This window comes from Homo sapiens, chromosome 9 (assembly GCF_000001405.40).
Source record: "Homo sapiens chromosome 9, GRCh38.p14 Primary Assembly".
In the NCBI taxonomy this organism is placed as follows: Eukaryota; Metazoa; Chordata; class Mammalia; order Primates; family Hominidae; genus Homo; species Homo sapiens.
Genome location: NC_000009.12, coordinates 22,009,761 through 22,030,037, shown reverse-complemented (window position 1 = coordinate 22,030,037; position 20,277 = coordinate 22,009,761). Strand labels below are relative to the sequence as shown.

The 20,277-nt window shown below is 39.5% G+C and overlaps 1 long non-coding RNA gene and 1 pseudogene across 32 annotated transcripts in view, besides 2 other annotated features; both read right to left on the bottom strand.

The window, feature by feature from the left end:
* The window catches only part of CDKN2B-AS1 (CDKN2B and CDKN2A antisense cis and trans regulatory RNA 1), a 133,352-nt gene that overhangs the window by 98,105 nt on the left and 14,970 nt on the right, over positions 1 to 20,277 (bottom strand). For 13 of the 32 annotated variants that reach the window (NR_185867.1, NR_003529.4, NR_047532.2 and 10 more), the window contains exon 2: positions 444 to 605. The exons of the other annotated variants lie outside the window; for them this stretch is intronic. This is a non-coding gene — a long non-coding RNA (CDKN2B and CDKN2A antisense cis and trans regulatory RNA 1). The remainder of the gene's footprint in view (positions 1 to 443; positions 606 to 20,277) is intronic. 32 annotated transcript variants of the gene reach the window in all.
* Positions 2,815 to 4,014: an enhancer, noted in NCBI's record as "MED14-independent group 3 enhancer chr9:22026023-22027222 (GRCh37/hg19 assembly coordinates)". NCBI's record gives its function as "activates an origin of replication core promoter dependent on BRD2, BRD4, P300/CBP and CDK7 cofactors, and independent of MED14, by STARR-seq in HCT116 cells {active_cell/tissue: HCT116}" and the evidence as "EXISTENCE:reporter gene assay evidence [ECO:0000049][PMID:35650434]".
* On the bottom strand, positions 17,416 to 17,923 carry UBA52P6 (ubiquitin A-52 residue ribosomal protein fusion product 1 pseudogene 6; annotated as a pseudogene).
* Positions 18,774 to 19,068: a silencer, noted in NCBI's record as "tiled region #15403; HepG2 Repressive non-DNase unmatched - State 9:DNaseU, and K562 Repressive non-DNase unmatched - State 24:Quies". NCBI's record gives its function as "represses a minimal TATA promoter and a strong SV40 promoter by Sharpr-MPRA in HepG2 and K562 cells {active_cell/tissue: HepG2 | K562}" and the evidence as "EXISTENCE:reporter gene assay evidence [ECO:0000049][PMID:27701403]".

Genomic DNA, 20,277 nt, shown 5'->3' with positions numbered 1-20,277 from the left:
GAACTTTTGGCTTTATGTCTTTAGATCTAACAAAATAGACTTAAAATCGATTGTAAGAAAACTGATTAGTAAAGTTATAGCTCACTACAGTGGGAATTAGAATTCAGGATATTACAGAGAGTGAAATAGTCCCATATAGAAAATATTACTTTCTATACTTAAATTATCCACTATCCATTTTGTAATAGAAAACACATTTTTCCTAATTTAAATCATGTAATATTAATATTACAATACTAACATCTTAGTGATTATAAATACAAGATAAAATAAACTGTCAGAATAAACACATGAAAATGGAAAGTTATAAGAAAATATTTGAAAACAGGTCATCAAAATATTTTCTAATAATGTAAAGATTAAATTTGGAAGAGAACATTTCCCCAAGGCTCTTCTTTTATCACACAGACCTGAAAGATGATGGTTTCCCAAACAGCACTTACAGCAATAGGTGTGGGCCTCAGTGGCACATACCACACCCTAACTACCACAAAGAAAGTCATGGGGGCCAGGACGGAGATCAGATGAGAGGAGCTGAGGAATCATCACAGCATGGACACCAATATTCTCTCTTGGAATCCTTTGAAATGTCGTGGCAAATAGTCCTGCAAAACATCCAAAAAATCTGGATTTGTCAGACAAGTCTCTATGTGATTAGATTCAGACTAAACATTCCATCAGGAATCCCATTAGATAAACTTCAGACCACACATGATCAGGCTCTCCTATTTGATAAAGACGGTAATAGCTTTCTCTCTCTCAAAGCACATTTTCTCTTTTTAATTAATGAATAAATCTACGGAGTGATATCCTGAGACTATTCTGTTTCTCAACCACTGTCTACCAATGGTTTTGTCACCCTTTGGGGAAGGGGATCAAAATATAGTGATTTTCTAATTCTAAGATTCGTTCTGTGTATATTAGCTGCTATTCTTCTAGAAAGAAGACTTTCACCACCGTCCCTTGGATTTTTTTTTTTAATTTTTGTATGGTTTAAATTGCATCATCATTCTTTTTGATGTCCAAATTGTCCCAAATTAAGCCAGTTAGAGAAACAAGTTCATTTTCAAAAATATGGAGATGCTAAATTGTATTATACCATAATCAATCTGTGTTTCATAGTAATATGGTGGTATTGTCACTTATATTTATCATTGTTACAATTATACTTTAGTAATTTATTTGTATCATGCCAAGGAAAGGAGTGGATATCCTTAATCAATTCAAATCTATAATGGCAGAGTTTTCTGAAGTGACACTGCATAAATGTTTCACAAACCATACATAAAGATCAGTCACATTGTTTTATAAATGAATCTGATACTTTGCTGTTAAGTTTCAGGTACTATTTTGAAACTACAGTGCCAAATTAAACACCTTAAAATTGCCTTCATATTTTTTTCTTAACTTTTGATTTTAATTTGTTTTGAAACTTTCACTCCAGCACTGCCTAGCTATATAACCACATTAAGTACAAATTTGAGACTAGGGTGTCAACATTAAAATCCTAAAACTGCCATCATGATGATACTGAAGTTTATGATTCTTTTTTTAAAGTTTCATTTTAACTATGTCTTGTTTAAAACCCTAGCTAGTATTAGCTACTGAATTTTGAAAATTCATTTAACATGTGAATAGCAAAATTAGAAACCTAACACTGCCTTAATTTTGGTACTAAGTTCTGTATTTTGAAACTTTTATTTTAACTCTGCCAAGGTTTTTCTGAGATGAACAATCAGTTTGCAATCAGTTGATGATTATTGAGATAGTGGTTTTATTATTGATTCACTCATATAACAAAAAATATTTTAAATATTTTTATATGTTTTATATGTATAAGAAATCAATATTTTATCAGATGGGAGGAGCTGAGGAATCATTATAGCATGGACACCAATATTATTTCTTGGAATCCTGTGAAATATCCTGACAAATAGTCCTGCAGAACGTCCAAAAAATCTGGATTTGTCAGACAAGTCTCTATGTGATTAGATTCAGAGTAATCTAATCTAGATGAGTCTGAATGAAGATATTGATGAAGATATTGATTTCTTAAAAGCCAGATCTTGTATGTTTTATGATATAGTATAAAACATGGAGCATATTCAATAAAACATAGCCTCTTTTATTTTTATTCAATAAAATATAGCCTCTTTTAATTATTCCTTCACATTTCTTTTTCAATTTATTTCATTTATTTTTCCTTTCCTTACAGCATCAATATTATTTCACATTTCTGTTGTGTGATTAACTTTACAAAAGAAATTGCTATCCCTCCTGGAATGTAAGAGCCATGAACAGGAATCTTTTACTCTTTGTCACGGATGTATTTTGAGGACCGAAAAGAGTGCCTGTGACATAACAGACACTCAATAAATATTTGCTGAATGGCTATTTGATAAATTGGATAAATCAACATAGAACTGTACCCCAAAAAGAGTAACCATGAAAAAAGCAGTCTTCATTCAGAAAGGTCATTATTTTTGGATGTTTTTTCTAATACTAATATTGTTTTGTTCACTTTCTATATTTGGTAAGAATGAATAGAGAGAAAAATTTTCGAGAGACTCTTATCAGCGATATTATGTGATAAACGCCTTCTCCTGGCATTTTTTCTGAGTGCTTTTATCCTGTCCTCTGAGTTTTTTCCAATAGATTCTTCTGCATTTGAATGTGAATTTTATTTATTTCATGAGATATGTTCCTTATATAAAAGCAATCCAGGAAGAGCTGGACCTAGAATTTTTAAAATAAAACAGCTTAACAATGTAAATAAATGTAAAAAAATTCATAATGATTAAATAAATTTAAAGAGAGAGAAGCGGTAGATCAACATGTTATTAATTTTTTTTTTTTTTTTGCTAGAAAGGTTTAGGGCAGGAGTGGCCAAGATGGCCAACTAGAAGCAGTTAATGTGTGTGACTCTCACAGGGCGGAAAGAAAGGGGTGACTAAATATAGCACCTTCAACTGAAACATTAAGGTACTCTCATTGGAAGTAATCAAGGAAACAACTCGACCCACGGAGACCAGAGCAAATCAAGGCAGGAAGACAGCCCACTTGGGAAAGACGTGGAGTCAAGGGAAACTCCCCTTCCCAGGGAAGTGGTAAGTGAATGCGCAACTCTGGGAATCCACACTGCTCTCACAGATCTTTGCAAACCTCAGATCAGGAGATCCCCTTGTGAACTCACTCCATTAGGCCCTTCACACACAGCCACGTGGAGTCTCAGCAGAGCAGCCACTCAGGCATGCATGGAGACCCAAGAGCTTTAGCTACTCCAGCTTTCTGGGTGTCTGGGCAAAAGTAGCTGCGACTTTGGCAAAGCTGGAGGTTAGACCCCCAAACATACCCCAGGAGGTTAGACTCCCATACATACCCCAGAAAAGAGGCTGAATCCAGCGAGATCAGCAGAGAAGGTCTACAGGCCCCACTTCCACAGCGCCTCACAGGATAAGACCCACTGGCTTGGAATTCCAGCTAGCCACCAGTAGCAACATTGTGCCTCCCTGGTACAAAGCTCCCAGGAGGAGGGGCAGGCCCCCATCTCTGCTGTTTGGGCAACTTAGCCATTATGGCCTTTGGGCTTTGGAGAGTCCAAACTAACCAGGGGCCAAAGAGATCCCCCAGCACAGCACAGTTGCTCTATTAAAATGTGGCCAGACTGCTGCTTTAAGTTGGTCCCCGATCCCATTCATCCTTACAGGCGGGACCTCCCAACTGGGGCCTCCAGCCACACCTGCCAGTGTTCTCCAGCTGACAGAGATCTGAAAACTCCCTGGGACAGAGCTCCCAGAGGGAGGGGCAGGCTGCCATCTTTGCTGTTTGGGCAACTTACCCATTCCAGCCTTCAGGCTTTGGGGAGCTTAAGCAGGGGTGGAAGGGGAACCCCAGCACAGAACAGCTGCCCGACAAAAATGTGGCCACACTGCTTTTTTTTTTTTTTTAGCAGGTCCCCAATCCCGTTCCTCATCACTGGGTAGAGTCTCCCATCTGGGGTCCCCGGCTACCCCAACTGGTGTTCTCTGACTGAGAGAGGTTTCAGACTTCCATGGGACCTTTGTCCCAGGGAGAGGAGCAGCCCACCATATTTGCTGTTAGAACAACTTAGCCATTCCAGCCTTTGGGCTTCAGAGTGTCTGAGGCAATCAGGGGCTAAAGCATACCCCCAGTATGGCACAACTCCTCTATGAAAATGGGGCAAGACTACTTTTGAAAGCAGGTCCCTGATCCTATTCCTCCTGGCTGGGTGAGGTCTCCCAACTAGCGTCTTCAGCCATGTCCTACCAGTGTGTTCGGGCCAGCAACAGGCCTGTATTTCCCAGGGATGGAGCTCCCAGAGAGAAAGGAAGGCCACCATCTTTGCTGTTTCGCAGCTTTCACTGGTGACACCTCCAGGTACTGGAAAATCTAAAGTGACCAGGGACTGGAGCTGGCCCCCAGCATACTACAGCAGCCCTATGGAAAAGTGAACAGACTGTTATGTGGGTGCCCATTCCCACATCTCTTCAACGAGCAGGTCCTCCAGGCCTGGACCTCTAGCCACACCCCACCAGAGATATCAAGCCAATAGCAACTCAGCAACTCCCTGGACAGAGCCGCCACGGACAACTGAAAGCCTCTCTGCCACTACCTCTGCAATGGAACTGTCCTTGCTACCCTCTGACTAATAAAGGAGCAAAGACCCTAAGTGTCTCATCCACACCTCCAATAAGCAGCAGTTGACTCAAGGAGAGGAGGCCAGTCCATCTCCCACAGGTCCCACCCCACCCCCCAGCTGCTCGTCACCAGACAGAGAGCCCCTGGCTTGGGCCCATAGCACAGACTCTCCATCCTGGGCTGATTGAACTGAATGATTGCTGACCCACATCTCTCTGGGGTGGAGCCCCCAAGAGACAAGCAAAGTGGTAGAGCAGCAAGCCAGCTGATGTGGAGCCCAGAGGGTTTAGTGCAGGAGTGTCTACAGCAGTGCATGGACAGGGATGGCGATCCCTCTAGGCTCAACTTGCTCCCATAATAGACTTTGGCCCTAGGGGAATTTTCAGACTTGATATCTGCAGAGTGGTCTTGTACATCAGTCAGGGCTGGTGCAACCTGAGCACTCCTTGGTCTGCTGGCCTCTTCTAGGGCCATCTTGGGTGCTGTGGTGGCCCACAGAATAGCTTCTGCACCAGTGGGCCATGCCTGACCAGTGGAGAACTCCAGCAAGACAGCCCTTACTGCGCACACCAGCCGGGTGTTCGCTACCCATACTGCAACTTCCCCTGAGCCCATGGCAACTCCCCACATCACTTTGCAGGCACATGTCTGCACAGGTGGAATTTGCTTTAGTTGCCCCACTAGCATACAGGAGGGAAGTATGCCCCTTGACCTCTGTCAACCACCATTGCAGACAGAACCTTAGCAGCACACAGCCAGCAAGCCCTGCAGCTGCCAGTGCCTCACTCTTGTGGTAATGCTGCATGGAGAACAGAGGATCCTCCCACACCCTGAGCAATCCCTCCTGCTTGCAGGTGACCAAGAAGGCACTCAGATCTGCACTGGTCAGTGCCTCTCACCAAACCAACACCATCACCAGTGCAAAAGCACAGACAGTCTATAGCAGGAGCCTCCTGTTCCCCACAAAAATGCCTTGCCTTCACTAGCATGGTGAATGCCTGCAGGGAGGCAGGCACCCCTGAATCCGCTAGCACCCAGCTGGAGCTGCCACACCTTGGTCCTCCAACAAAGTAGACTCCAAACCTCGAGGAACCAGAGAACAAAGTTGGGGCCCAATACAAGTCATCCAGAGTTAGAACATGCAGTCCAGGAGTTGGGAGGTGAACGATGGCCCCCTAAAGTCTTCCAGATACAAAGCTAGTTGGTTGAATTGACCTTATAACACAATCAAACCCTCAAGGTCATCAAATAGGATAAAAGAAAAAATAATCCAAATGTCAGCAACCTCAAAGATTGAAGGTAGATGAGCCCACAAAGATAAGAAATAATCAGCACAAGAACACTGAAAACTCAATAATCAAGAGTACCTTCTTTCCTCCAAAGGACCACATCACCTCTCTGGCAAGCGTTCAGTACCAGGCTGAGGCTGAGATGGCTGAAATGATAGAAGCAGAATTCAGAATATGGATAGGAATGAAGTTCGCAGAGTTATAGGAGTATGTTGTAACAAAATGCAAAGGAACTAAAAATTCTAATAAAGCATTGCAGGAGCTTACAGATAAAAAAGCTAGAATACAGAAGAATGTAACTGACTTGATAGAGCTAAAAACAGGCCACAAAAATGTGTAGGTTTGCTTTTGATACGGACTCTCAACTCACCCAGGCTGGAGTGCAGTGGCACGATCTCAGCTCACTGCAACCTTCATCTCCCAGGTTCAAGCAATTCTCCTGCCTCAGTCTCCCCAGTAGCTGAGATTATAAGCATGTTCCCCCATGCCCAGCTATGATTTTTTTTTTTGGTATTTTTAGTAGAGGTGGGGTTTCACCACATTATCCAGGCTGGTCTCAAACTCCTGACCTCAAATGATCCACCCACCTCAGCCTCCCAAAGTGCTGGAATTACAGGTGTGAGCCACCACTCCCAACCCCCAAAATTTCATAATGCAATCACAAGTATTAATAACAGAATAGACTAAGTGAAGGAGAGAATTTCCAAGCTTGAAGACTACCTTTCCAAAATTAGACAAGCAGACAAGAATAGAGAAAAAAGAATAAAAATGAATAAACAAAACCTCCTAGAAATATAGGATTATATAGAGACCACATCTACAATTCATTGGTTTACCTGAAAAAAATGGAAGATAGTGGAACCAACTTGGAAAGCATATTTTAAAATATCATCCATGAGAACTTCCCCATCCTAGCCAGAGAGGCCAACATTCAAGTTCAGGAAATGCAGAGAACCCCAGTAAGATACCCCATAATAAGTTCATCCCCAAGACACATAATCATCATATTCTCTAAGGTCAAAATGAAAGAACAAATGTTAAAGGCAGCCAGAGAGAAAGCCCAGGTTACAAAGGGAACCCCATCAGACTAACAACAGACCTCTCAGCTGAAACCCTACAAGCCAGAAGTGATTGGAGGCCAATATTCAATGTTTTTAAAGAAAAGAAACTCCAACCCAGAATTTTATATCTGGTCAAACTAAGTTTCATAAGAGAAGGAAAAATAAGATCCTTTGCAGACAAGCAAATGCTGAAGGAATTAGTTACCACCAGACCTGCCTTACAAGAGCTCCTGAAGGAAGCACTAATTGTGGAAAGGAAAGACCATTACCAGTCACTATAAAAACACACTGAAGTACACAAATTAGTAACACTATAAAGCAACCACAAAAACAAGTCTGCAAAGCAACCAGCTAGCATTATGATGACAGGATCATAACCTTAAATGTAAATAGGCTAAATGCACCAATTAGAAGACAGAGCGGCAAGCCAAGTAAAGAGCCAAGACCCATCGGTATGCTGTCTTCAAGAGATCCATCTTACATGCAATGAGATAGGCTCAAAATAAAAGGATGGAGAAAAATATATCAAGGAAATGCAAATCAGAAAAAAGCAGGGTTCCAATCCTAGTTTCTGACAAAACAGACTTTAAACCAACAAGAACAAAAAAGACAAAGAAACGCATTACATAATGGTAAAGGGTTCAATTCAACGAGAAAATCTAACTATCCTAAATATATATACACCCAACACAGGAACACCCAGATTCATAATCATGTTCTTACAGACCTTCAAAGAGACTGACTCCCACACAATAATAGTGGGAGACTTTAACACCCCAGTGAGAATATTAGACAGATCACCGAGACAGAAAATTAACCAAGATATTCAGGACCTGAACTCAACACTGGATCAAATGAACCTGATAGATATATACAAAACTCTCCAGTGAAAAACAACAGAATCTACATTCTTCTCATTACCACATGGCACATACTCTAAAATTGATCACATAATTGGAATTAAAACACTCCTCAGCAAATGCAAAAGAACTGAAATCATAACAAACTGTCTCCCAGACCACAGCACAATTAAATTAGAGATGAATACTAAGAAATTCACTCAAAACCATACAATTACACGGAAAGTGAAACGCCTGCTCCTGAATGACTTTTGGGTAAACAATCAAATTAAGGCAGAAATCAAGAAGTTCTTTGAAACTAATGCTTGCAGCATTAGTTTCTATTCAACACTTCTATTCAACATAGTATTGAATATTCTGGCAAGGGCAATCAGGGAAGAGAAAGAAATAAAGGCATCCAAATAAGAAGAGAGGAAGTCAAACTATCTTTCTTTGCAGGTGACATGATCTTATATCTAGAAGACCCCATTGTCTCAGCCCAAAAGCTTCTTAAGCTGATAAACAACTTCAGCAAAGTCTCAGGATACAAAAAAAAATCTCTACAAGGAGAACCACAAACTACTGCTCAAGGAAATCAGAGATAACATAAACAAATGGAAAAGCATTCTATGCTCATGTATAGGAAGAATCAGTATTGTGAAAATGGCCATACTGGCCAAAGCAATTTATAGATTCAGTGCTATACCTATGAAACTACCATTGAATCTCTTCATAGAACTAGAAAAAACTATTTTAAAAGTCATATGGAACCAAAAAAGTGCCCTAATTTTCCAAACCAATCCTAAGCAGAAAGAACAAAGCTGGAGGCATCACATTACCTGACTTCAAACTATACTACAGGGCTACAGCAACCAAAACAACATGGCACTGGTAAAAATAAATGAATACATGAATAAATAAATAAATAAAAGTTAAGAACATAAAAAAAAGCAGACACAGACTAATGGAACAGAACAGAGAACCCAGAAATGAGACTACACACCTCCAACTATCTGATCTTCAACAAACCTGACAAAAACAAGCAATGGAGAACAGATTCCCTATTCAATAAATGGTGCTGGGATAACTGGCTAGCCATATGCAGAAGATTAAATCTGGACCCCTTCCTTACACCATATACAAAACTTAACTCAAGATAGAGTAAAGACTTAAATGTAAAACCCAAAACTATCAAAACCCTGGAAGACAGTCTAGGCAGTACCATTCAGAACATAGGTACAGGCAAAGATTTCATGAGGAAGACACAGAGCAATTGCATCAAAAGAAAAAATTGACAAATGCAATCTAATTAAACTAAAAAGCTTCTGCACGGTAAAAGAAACTATCAACAGAGTAAACAGACAACCTACAGAATGGGAGAACATTTCTTTAAACTATGCATCTGACAAAGGTCTAATATCCAGCATCTATAAAGACCTTAAACAAATTTACAAGAATAAAACACCCCTATTAAAAAATGGGCAAAGGACATGAACAGACACTGTTCAAAAGAAGACATACATGTGGCTAACAATCATATGAAGAAAAGCTCAACATCACTGATCATTAGAAAAATGCAAATCAAAACCACAATGAGATACTATCTCACACAAGTCAGAATGGCTATTATTAAAAAGTCAAAAAAAATAACAGATGCTGTTGAGGTAGTGGAGAAAAAGGAACACTTAGACTCTGCTGGTGGGAGTGTAAATTGGTTCAACCATTGTGGGGGACTGTGCGATGATTCCTCAAAGACCTAAAGACAGAAATACCATTCAACCCAGCAATCCCATTACTGGGTATACACCCAAAGGAATATAAATCATTCTATTATGAAGACACTTGCATGTGTATGTTTATTGCAATAGTATTCACAATAGCCAAAAAAAATTGAATCAACATAAATGCCCATCAGTGATAGACTGGATAAAGAAAATGTGGTACATATACACCATGGAATACTATGCAGCCATAAAAAAAGAACAATAGCATGTCCTTTTGCAGGGACATGGATGGAGCTGGAAGCCATTATGCTTAGCAAACTAATGCAGGAACAGAAAACCAAATACCACATGTTCTCACTTATAAGTGGAAGATAAATGATGAGAACACATGAACACACAGAGGGGAACAACACACACCGGGGCCTATCAGAAGGTGGAAGATGGGTGGAGGGAGAAAATAAGGAAAAATAACTAACTAACAAGTACTAGACTTAATACCTGGGTGATGAAACAATCTGTACAACAAACCCTCATGACAGAAGTTTAACCTATGTAACAAACCTGCACATGTACCCCTGAACTTAAAAGTTTTTTTTAAAGGGTTTGGTATTAATTCCTAGGATTAAATATTATTCTTTATACTCTACTATTCTTTTTCTGAAGGAAAGTAAATCTTTCTTCTATATTCAAATGTCTGCTAATTTTCTATACTCAAATGTCTGCATTTCAGTATAGAGAAAATTGCATTACTACAGCTGTTAATGCAAATTAGTCTAAATTAGGGATACACACTCCTCCCTGAGCTCTAGACCCCTCTCTCTAACTTTCACTGGATATCTCCACCTTGATAGTTCACCATGTCTCAAGTTCAGTTTTGCTGAACCTGAACTCATAATCTTCACCTTAAACTGCATCCTCATCCAGCATTCCCTACCTTGGTGACCATGATCACCAACCTCTCTCATTGTAAAAACCTGCCTAACACCTTCCCTTCCCTCATCTTCCATCTCCAGTTCATTGCTAAGTGCTGATGTTATTCTTTAAATATGTCTTAAAGCAATCTACTTCTCTCCATCTTGGCTCAGGCACTTTAGTCCAAGCTACCATAACCTATCCTCTGAACTACTGGCCCACAGAATCCACTCTTGCCTCTCCCCTAAACCATTCTCCAAAATGCATTCCAAGTATTTTTTAAATTTAACTGAAAATCTGATCACATCATGTGTCTTTATAAACACATCAATGGCTTATCCTTAAGATAAAGACAAAAGTCCTAACATGGCCTATACAGCTCTACAACATTTTTCCATGCTTATTTCTCAGCTAGCTACAATGTTTTCCTCCATCCCTATGCTCCAGTCACAATTCCTTCAATATGTCCTTGCTTTGTCCCACCTCAGAGCTTGCCACATGCAGTTTCTTCTGACTCACATCCCCTTCCTTGGAATGACTGCCTCTCTTTTGATTAGTTAATTTTCTATAATACTGCAGACCTCAACTCAAATATCTCTTGATTCCCTCAACCACCAGACCAGATCAGCTCTCTCACTATGCACTTACCATGTTTTGAAATTAATACTCTCTGAATTGTTTATCACCTGTACCTAGAATATAGTGTATGATATTTATTGGGGGGGCTCAATATTTTGAGTGGATGAGTAAATATATTACAGATAGCTAATTATTCAAGATTTCATGTTCACATTATTGCTAAAAATGTAGATGAAGTAAAAGTAGATTGAAATAGGAGGATATAAACATGTTGGCGCTCTTTACATCACATACATGGATTATGTTTTTCTTTGTTTGTTTTTAGATGAAGTCTTGCGCTGTCACCCAGGCTGGACGGCAGTGGCCCGAGTGCACAGGCAACCTCTGCCTCCCAGGTTCAAGCGATTCTCCTCCCTCAGCCTCCCGAGTAGCTGGGATTACAGGAGCCCACCACCAAGCCCAGCTAATTTTTGTATTTTTAGTAGAGACGGGGTTTCGCCATGTTGGCCAGGCTGGTCTGAACTGCTGACCTCAGGTGATCCACCCGCCTCGGCCTCCCAAAGTGCTGGGATTACAGGCGTGAGCCACCATGCGCGGCCCATGGCATATGTTATCAGTAATATGTAAGTATGGCTTCAGTCAAAGCAAGGAAGTTGAAAGTAACAATTAAAAAAAAAAAAGTCATCAGGATCCAAAGCTGTGGAGAAAACTCAACCTCTGCCTCCTGGGTTCAAGCAATTCTCCTGCCTCAGCCTCCCTGGTAGCTGGGATTACAGGTGCCTGACACCACCCCCAGCTAATTTTTGTATTTTTAGTAGAGACATGGTTTCACCATGTTGGTCAGGCTGGTCTTGAACTCCTGACCTCAGGTGATCCACCCACCTCAGCCTCCCAAAGTGCTGGGATTACAGGCGTGAGCCACTTTTAGAAAATGTTTTCATCTATCTCAATACCTCACTACCCCTCCTGATATTCCATCTATAATAGCAACAGTTGTGAAATGCACTAGATTCTAACATTAACACTAGATCCATTAAGAACAGAGCAGAAGAGAGTCTGGATACACAAATTTCACAATTATTGGCTCCCATCAACATATCTAACTCAAGCATAAAGTTGTTTCAGCAGTAGTTTAAGGTTGGTTACTAATGCAACACCTCTTTGCATGCAATGGCCCATTAAATTATCTTCAACTTTAAAAGGTTCCTTTGTTTTTAAATGCTTATAATGAACAAATATATACCAATACCTTGGCAGAATTCATTAACTTAATAACTTCAATATGTTGTTCATATAAAAATTTCTGGTAAATGAGAACTGTACATTACTGATGTGACAAGGTACACAAGCCAATGTTGACATAATGTTTTCAAAATGGGGTGTCTGCTGTAACTGAACTAAATATAATAACTTTATTCAAGAATGAGTTTCAATGATAGGACAAAACTTGATAAAATGAATAAATAAATAATTATATGCCAGAGTTCAGTAAACCCTGTGTGTACACCTGAAAAAGCTCAAACTTGCCTAGCACATATAGAGTCCGAATTCAGTTGGGTTTGTGTGAAACGGGTAGGTTGAGCCCTAAAAAAGAGGTAGATAACCCATATAGGCAGACTTCCTTATTTTATTTATTTTTTTCTGCTTCAGCCTCCTGAGTAGCTGGGACTACAGGTGTGTGCCACCACGTCTGGCTAATTTTGTTTGTTTTTAGTAGAGATGGGGTTTCACCATATTGGCCAGGCTGGTCTCGAACTCCTGACCTTGTGATCTGCGCGCCTCGGCCTCCCAAAGTGCTGGGATTACAGGCGTGAGCCACTGCGCCTCGCCAACTTCCTTATTTTAAATGCCATTTCCCACTAAAAATAAAACCAGTAATTCTTTGAAAAAAAGTTAATATTATGTATAGGACTGGAAGTATATAAGATAAAACTGGAATATATTGTCATACCAGAAATCAAAGATTTTGTCAAAGACTAATAGTTCCATGTCAAAAAGATTCACTAATCAATTTGCAGAGGCTCCCACTGGCCAAAGATAGAGCTTGATCATCAACAGGAATAATAACTATAATGGGTTAAAACATAGCAATTATGTTTAAATCTATAGGTTTATAGTAATAATGTTAAAATCATTAGTCACCTTTGAAAGATGCTACGACTCTTTAATCCATCTTGAATTAATTTTTGTATAAGGTGTAAGGAAGGGATCCAGTTTCAGCTTTCTACATATGGCTAGCCAGTTTTCCCAGCACCATTTATTCAATAGGGAATCCTTTCCCCATTGCTTGTTTTTCTCAGGTTTGTCAAAGATCAGATAGTTGTAGATATGCGGTGTTATTTCTGAGGGCTCTGTTCTGTTCCATTGATCTATATCTCTGTTTTGGTACCAGTACCATGCTGTTTTGGTTACTGTAGCCTTGTAGTATAGTTTGAAGTCAGGTTGCATGATGCCTCCAGCTTTGTTCTTTTGGCTTAGGATTGACTTGGCAATGCGGGCTCCTTTTTGGTTCCATATGAACTTTAAAGTAGTTTTTTCCAATTCTGTGAAGAAAGTCATTGGCAGCTTGATGGGGATGACATTGAATCTATAAATTACCTTGGGCAGTATGGCCATTTTCACGATATTGATTCTTCCTATCCATAAGCATGGAATGTTCTTCCATTTGTTTGTATCCTCTTTTATTTCATTGAGCAGTGGTTTGTAGTTCTCCTTGAAGAGGTCCTTCACGTCCCTTGTATTAGACCTAAAACCATAAAAACCCTAGAAGAAAACCTAGGCATTACCATTCAGGACATAGGCATGGGCAAGGACTTCATGTCTAAAACACCAAAAGCAATGGCAACAAAAGCCAAAATTGACAAATGGGATCTAATTAAACTAAAGAGCTTCTGCACAGCAAAAGAAACTATCATCAGAGTGAACAGGCAACCTACAAAATGGGAGAAAATTTTCGCGACCTACTCATCTGACAAAGGGCTAATATCCAGAATCTACAATGAACTCAAACAAATTTACAAGAAAAAAACAAACAACCCCATCAAAAAATGGGCGAAGGATATGAACAGACACTTCTCAAAAGAAGACATTTATGCAGCCAAAAGACACATGAAAAAATGCTCATCATCACTGGCCATCAGAGAAATGCAAATCAAAACCACAATGAGATACCATCTCACACCAGTTAGAATGGCAATCATTAAACAGTCAGGAAACTAATGGTAGATGATGAGTTAGTCGGTGCAGCGCACCAGCATGGCACATGAATACATATGTAACTAACCTGCACATTGTGCACATGTACCCTAAAACTTAAAGTATAATAATAATAAAGAAAAATAAATAAATAAATAAAAATAAATGGGGGAATAAATTCATGTTAATGAATTGAAGATTCAATATTTTTAGATGACAGTCTTCCCCAAATTGATCTATAAATTCCACACAATCCCAATTAAAATTCAAACAAGATTATTTGGCAAGATAATTTTTAAATTTATATTAAAAAGTAAAGGATTCAGAATGACCAAACAATTTCGAAAAGGGAGGATGAATTTGGAGGGGTTACATTACCTGATTTAAAAACTTCCTATAAAGCTACCTTAATCAAGACAGTGTAGAACTGACTAAAGAATGGACTTTTTCATAGGAAAATGAATCTTAATAAAGAGTCTAGAAATAGAAAAAAAAAGTCAGGAAAAAACAGGTGCTGGAGAGGATGTGGAGAAATAGGAACACTTTTACACTGTTGGTGGGACTGTAAACTAGTTCAACCATTGTGGAAGTCAGTGTGGCGATTTCTCAGGGATCTAGAACTAGAAATACCATTTGACCCAGCCATCCCATTACTGGGTATATACCCAAAGGATTATAAATCATGCTGCTATAAAGACACATGCACACGTATGTTTATTGCGGCACTATTCACAATAGCAAAGACTTGGAACCAACCCAAATGTCCAACAATGATAGACTGGATTAAGAAAATGTGGCATATATACACCATGGAATACTATGCAGTCATAAAAATGATGAGTTCATGTCCTTTGTAGGGACATGGATGAAATTGGAAATCATTATTCTCAGTAAACTATCACAAGGACAAAAAACCAAACACCGCCATGTTCTCACTCATAGATGGGAATTGAACAATGAGAACACATGGACACAGGAAGGGGAACATCACACTCTGGGGACTGTTGTGGGGTGGGGGGAGGGGGGAGGGATAGCATTAGGATATATATCTAATGCTAAATGACAAGTTAATGGGTGCAGCACACCAGCATGGCACATGTATACCTATGTAACTAACCTGCACATTGTGCACATGTACCCTAAAACTTAAAGTATAATAATAATAATAATAAAAGAAAGATTCTAGGACTCAACTCATTATTTTGAAAATTTATAAATACATTTCAAAATCTAGTGGTTTATCCTGTCTTTCTTACATATACCTGAAAGCAATGAAGTAGATAATGAAGAGAACTTTCTATATAGAAATATTCCAGGCCAGGCACAGTGGCTTATGTCTGTAATCCCAACACTTTGGGAGGCTGAAGCAGGAGGAGCTTAGGAGGCTGAGCCCAGTAGTTAGAGACCAGCCTGGGCAAAAAAGCAAGACCCTCATCTCTACAAAAAATTTAAAAATTAGCCAGGTGATGTGTGCCTGTAGTCCTAGCTATTGGGGAAGCTGAGGTGGGAGGATCACTTGAGCCTGGGAGTTGCAGGTTGCAGTGAGCTATGATCACACCACTGCACTCCAGCCTGGGTGACAGTGCAAGACTCTGTCTCAAATAATAAATAAATAAATAAATAATTTAAAAAGACATTCCAGCTAGTAAATGAAGGAATAGTAAAATTAGAATATCACCATTTTGCCATCCCCAAGAAAATAATAATCTATGAAATAATTATCCATGGCTGCTAGAATCACAGAAAGAGACAACCATATTATGTGTCTCTTGGTGAAAGTACGTAATCCCACTTATTAAATACTTTTGCCCAAATATCAAACCTGAATCACATACAGACTCTAGGCCTAAATAATAAGTTATGAGAAATACAAATGACAAAGAAAAATGTTAAGTGTCATTATAAAGAAGCATTCAGCAAAATCCAAGCTTTAGAAAACTACAGATAAAGCCAATTTCTGCAATAGATAAATTGAAAGAAAAAAAAAGAAGGCAAAAGGGGGAAACTGTAGATTAAGAGGAAACAAGACGCCAGGTGCAGTGGTTCACACTTGCAATCCAGCACTTTGGGGGGCCGAGGTGAAAGAATTGTGTGAGCCCAGGAGTTCGGGACCAGCCTGGGCCAGATGGCAAGACTTCATCTCTTCAAAAAAGTAAAAATATTAGCCAGTCATGGTGGCCAACACCTGTAGTCCCATCTACTCTGGAGGATGAGGCAGGAGCATCCCTTAAGCCCAGGAATTCGAGGCAGCAGTGACCCTTGCTCACAGTATTGCACTCCAGCCTGGTCGACAAGGTGAATGAAACCTGTCCCTTATAAGAAAAAAAAGAGAGAGAGAGAGATACAAGAGACTGTAGCAATTTCAACCAATTTCAATATCCTAGCCTTATTTTAATCCTTATTCAAATGAATAAATTATTAATAACAGTTTAAAAAGAAATGAAAAGTAAAATGTGTAAAAATTAAGATGCTGTTGTTATGGGTTAAATTCTGTCACCTCTAAATTTTTATATTAAAGTCCTAAGCCCAATACCTCACAATTTGACCGTATTTGGAAATAGAGCCCTTAAAGAAGTGACTAAGTTAAAATAAGGCCATTGGGGTGGGCCCTAATCCAATCTGACTGGTGTCCTCAAAAGAGGAGGAAATTTGGACACACACAAGAGATCCAGGGGCACGTGTGCACAGAGGGATGACTATGTGAAGAGGCAGCAGTAGGATGGCCATGTGCAAGTCAAGAAGAGAAGCCTCAGGAGAAGTTAAAACTCTGAGAAAATAAATATTTGTTGTTTAAGCTACTCAGTCTGTGGTATTCTGTTATGGCAGCCCTAGCAAACTAATACGGATACTAAAATGATGAACAAGTCCACCATTTAATTAATCTTGAAAAATACATGGGAATATAGAAGTGGATATACTGTGGATCACGGAGCAATAAACCCAACTCATAAAATGGAGAAAATCAAACCTCTTGGTGGGAAGGTGTGTTCATAAAAAATTTGAAAAAGCCCCAAAAGTGATTATGAATTTCCTTCTCTTCTCACTTATAAACACTATCTTAGTCCTAATCATATGCAAAAGTGTGCATAAATGAGGGCAAGGTTAGGTCGCTGTTTCTCTTGGCCAGTCAACCAGTTCTATTCATACTTTTTTTTTTTCCAGTCAATGAAAGGGACACTTTATTGAGGCTCCAGGGCCATGGGGCCTGGGCAGGAGGCTGCCCTCCGAGGAAGGAAGAGCCTTATTTGACCTTCTTGGGGTGCAGGTTGTTGGTGTGGCCACACTTCTTCTTGCGGCAATTGACAGCATAGGGGTGCAGGAGAGCATAGCGCTTATGGCAGATCATCTTGTTTCAGCTGTATTTCTAGGTGAGCTGGAAGAGTGAAGGCTCAATAATGCCACCTCGCAGGTGCAGCACCAGGTGCGGGGTGGGCTGTTTCTGGACGTTGTAGTCTGAGAGAGTGCGGCCATCCTCCAGCTGTTTGCTGGCAAATATCAGACGCTGCTTGTCAGGGGGGATACCCTCCTTGTCTTGAATTTTCGCACTGACATTCTCAATGGTGTCACTGGGCTCGACCTCAAGGGTGATGGTCTTGCCCGTGAGGGTCTTCACAAAGATCTGCATCTCTGTGTCTGCAGCTCGGCTGCCTCGCTGAAGAAAAAGAGGATGGCAGATCTGTTCATACTTCTATATCAAGGTCATATACAGACAATTTCACCAACTAGAATATAAAAATATTATTACTAGTGATCTGAGTTATGTGCAACATTGGAATGGATGCCACTCATTCCCTTCTACTGACCTCCAAAATTCTATGCCAATTTACCATTAACTTTCTCTTTCTTTCTTCTCAATTATAAATTCTCCACCTTATTAAAAGACATGGCTCTGACAATTCCAAGTTTCAGCTGCCCACTATGTTCCCATCCACTTCATCTTTTAAATGTGTTTAAAGCATTAACAACAGATTGTGTTTCACCCTAGAGACAGCTGGGTTTCAAGGAGAGGTAAAATGTTTCATAATCTCACTCTATTGTCCAAGACAAATGTGCTATTGTATTACATGTGAAATGTCATCTTTGAAGTCTGGTAAGGGTGTGCTGTGAGGTGAGCCATCTGGAAAACACAGTGTAGACTGAAAAATAATTATAAGCCAGTTTATTACTTTTTTCCAGTTAAGCCTACCATGACAGCTGCTAAAAAAAACACTATGTAGTATAAAGGGTAAAAAGACTCTGAAGTCGCAAAAGTTATACCCACCTCCAACAATGATTAGCTAGTATACAAGTCACTCAAATTCTCTGATCCTTTTGGCTTGTCTGTAAAATTGAAATATGGACACATGCCACAGAGGAGTTTTATGAGTATTAAATGAAACAACAGCTGTAAAGCACTTCGTACAGAGTACACAATAAGTTTGATTTCTCTTCTCGTCTTCTAAATATAGACTATATAATATTCTTTATACAGAGAATATTAGATAAAATCCAATCATATTTGAAAACCAGGTTGAGCAGGTTGGTTTTTCAAAGAAATTCATTGAGCTTCCATAATGTCCTTTCTATTTGACGGGAGAAAAGGGGCTTTGGAAGATCAAGTGTGAAGCTTTAGAATTCTGTCTGGAGCTGGTTAGGACCACCCAGGCCTGAGTATAAGCAAAGCGCTGTCCGTGGTGCTAGTAAGCGCGAATGCCCCCGGCAACGTTTTCCCTACCCAAAGTTGTTTTTCATTCAGTCAACTTGCTTCGCGAAGCTCACACATCTGCCTCGTGCAAGATTCTCAGTCATTTTACTTAGTCATTGGTTCTTTCCCTATCACCATTCTTTATGTCCCCCTCAAAGAAAAACATTATCTTCCATTTCCTTATCAACTCCAAACAGCTTTCATTTTTCTGACATATTTACTACCTAAGAAAATGGCTCAAGAATTGGGTCAGACTATCTTGTCCTAACTTTTCTGATAAGTTTCAGAGAAACTCAAAGGTCAAAACAAGAGCATAAGAGTAAAAGGTAGAGAAATTAAGAAACTGAAGACTAGGAAATGGGGGTTGGATGGGAAAGAAAAAGAAATTGTTATTAATGCTACCCGGTTCCCTTCCCTGTCCAGGTGGATTTCAGCTCTGTTGAGGCTCTGTCAGTAGATTTTCAGCCCTAACCAGCACTTCCATGGTGGTGGCACTTCCACTGCCTTTAAAAGAAAGAGCTTTTTTTAATTCTACAGGGATTTGGGGGATGAGGAGTCAGAGCTAAGGTATCCTAAAAAAAACATGTGAAGACTCTCATTTTGCAATACACAAGCAATTGCCCTCCTGTTAAGACTTTGTCTTCCTCAGCACTCCGAACCAAAATGATTCTGTAAACAAAAATTGTTCACTTTTAGGAGAGGTCCACTTATGCAGTTCCTCACCAAAGTTTTTAGGCAACAAATCCATAACTTGCGGTTCTCTTCCTATCCAATGTAGCATCCGCTGAAATGTTTTAAATATTTTAAGTAATAAATGTTGATTCAAACTCACCTAGGAAGATTAGGAAGGGGAAAAAAAGCACTTGGCATTTAAATCTTCAGAAGAGAATTTAATGACAGGTTCAGCCTGTTTAATGACAAGCCCAGCACCACACCCCTCTCTTATGATGTTTCATTATTACTGCATAAATTTCCTTTATTACTCATGATAAATAAAAATAAGATACCTGACAAAGTGGGTTTAAATAGGTAAGAGTGCAAACAAAGATTTACTGTACAAATATGATGAAACTGGGATCTCAGATTCTTAAAGTATAATTTTTTTTTGTCTTATGTGTGCCAGGTTGCCACTCTCAATCTCGAACTAGTTTTTTTCTCTTTTAAGGGTTGTATCCATAATGCAAAAATGGAAAGAATTAAAAAGCACACGCAAAACATGATTCTCGGGATTTTTCTCTATTTTTATGGTTGACTAATTCAAACAGAAAGACACATCCAAGAGAAAATTGCTAAGTTTGATACAAGTTATGAAACTTGTGAAGCCCAAGTACTGCC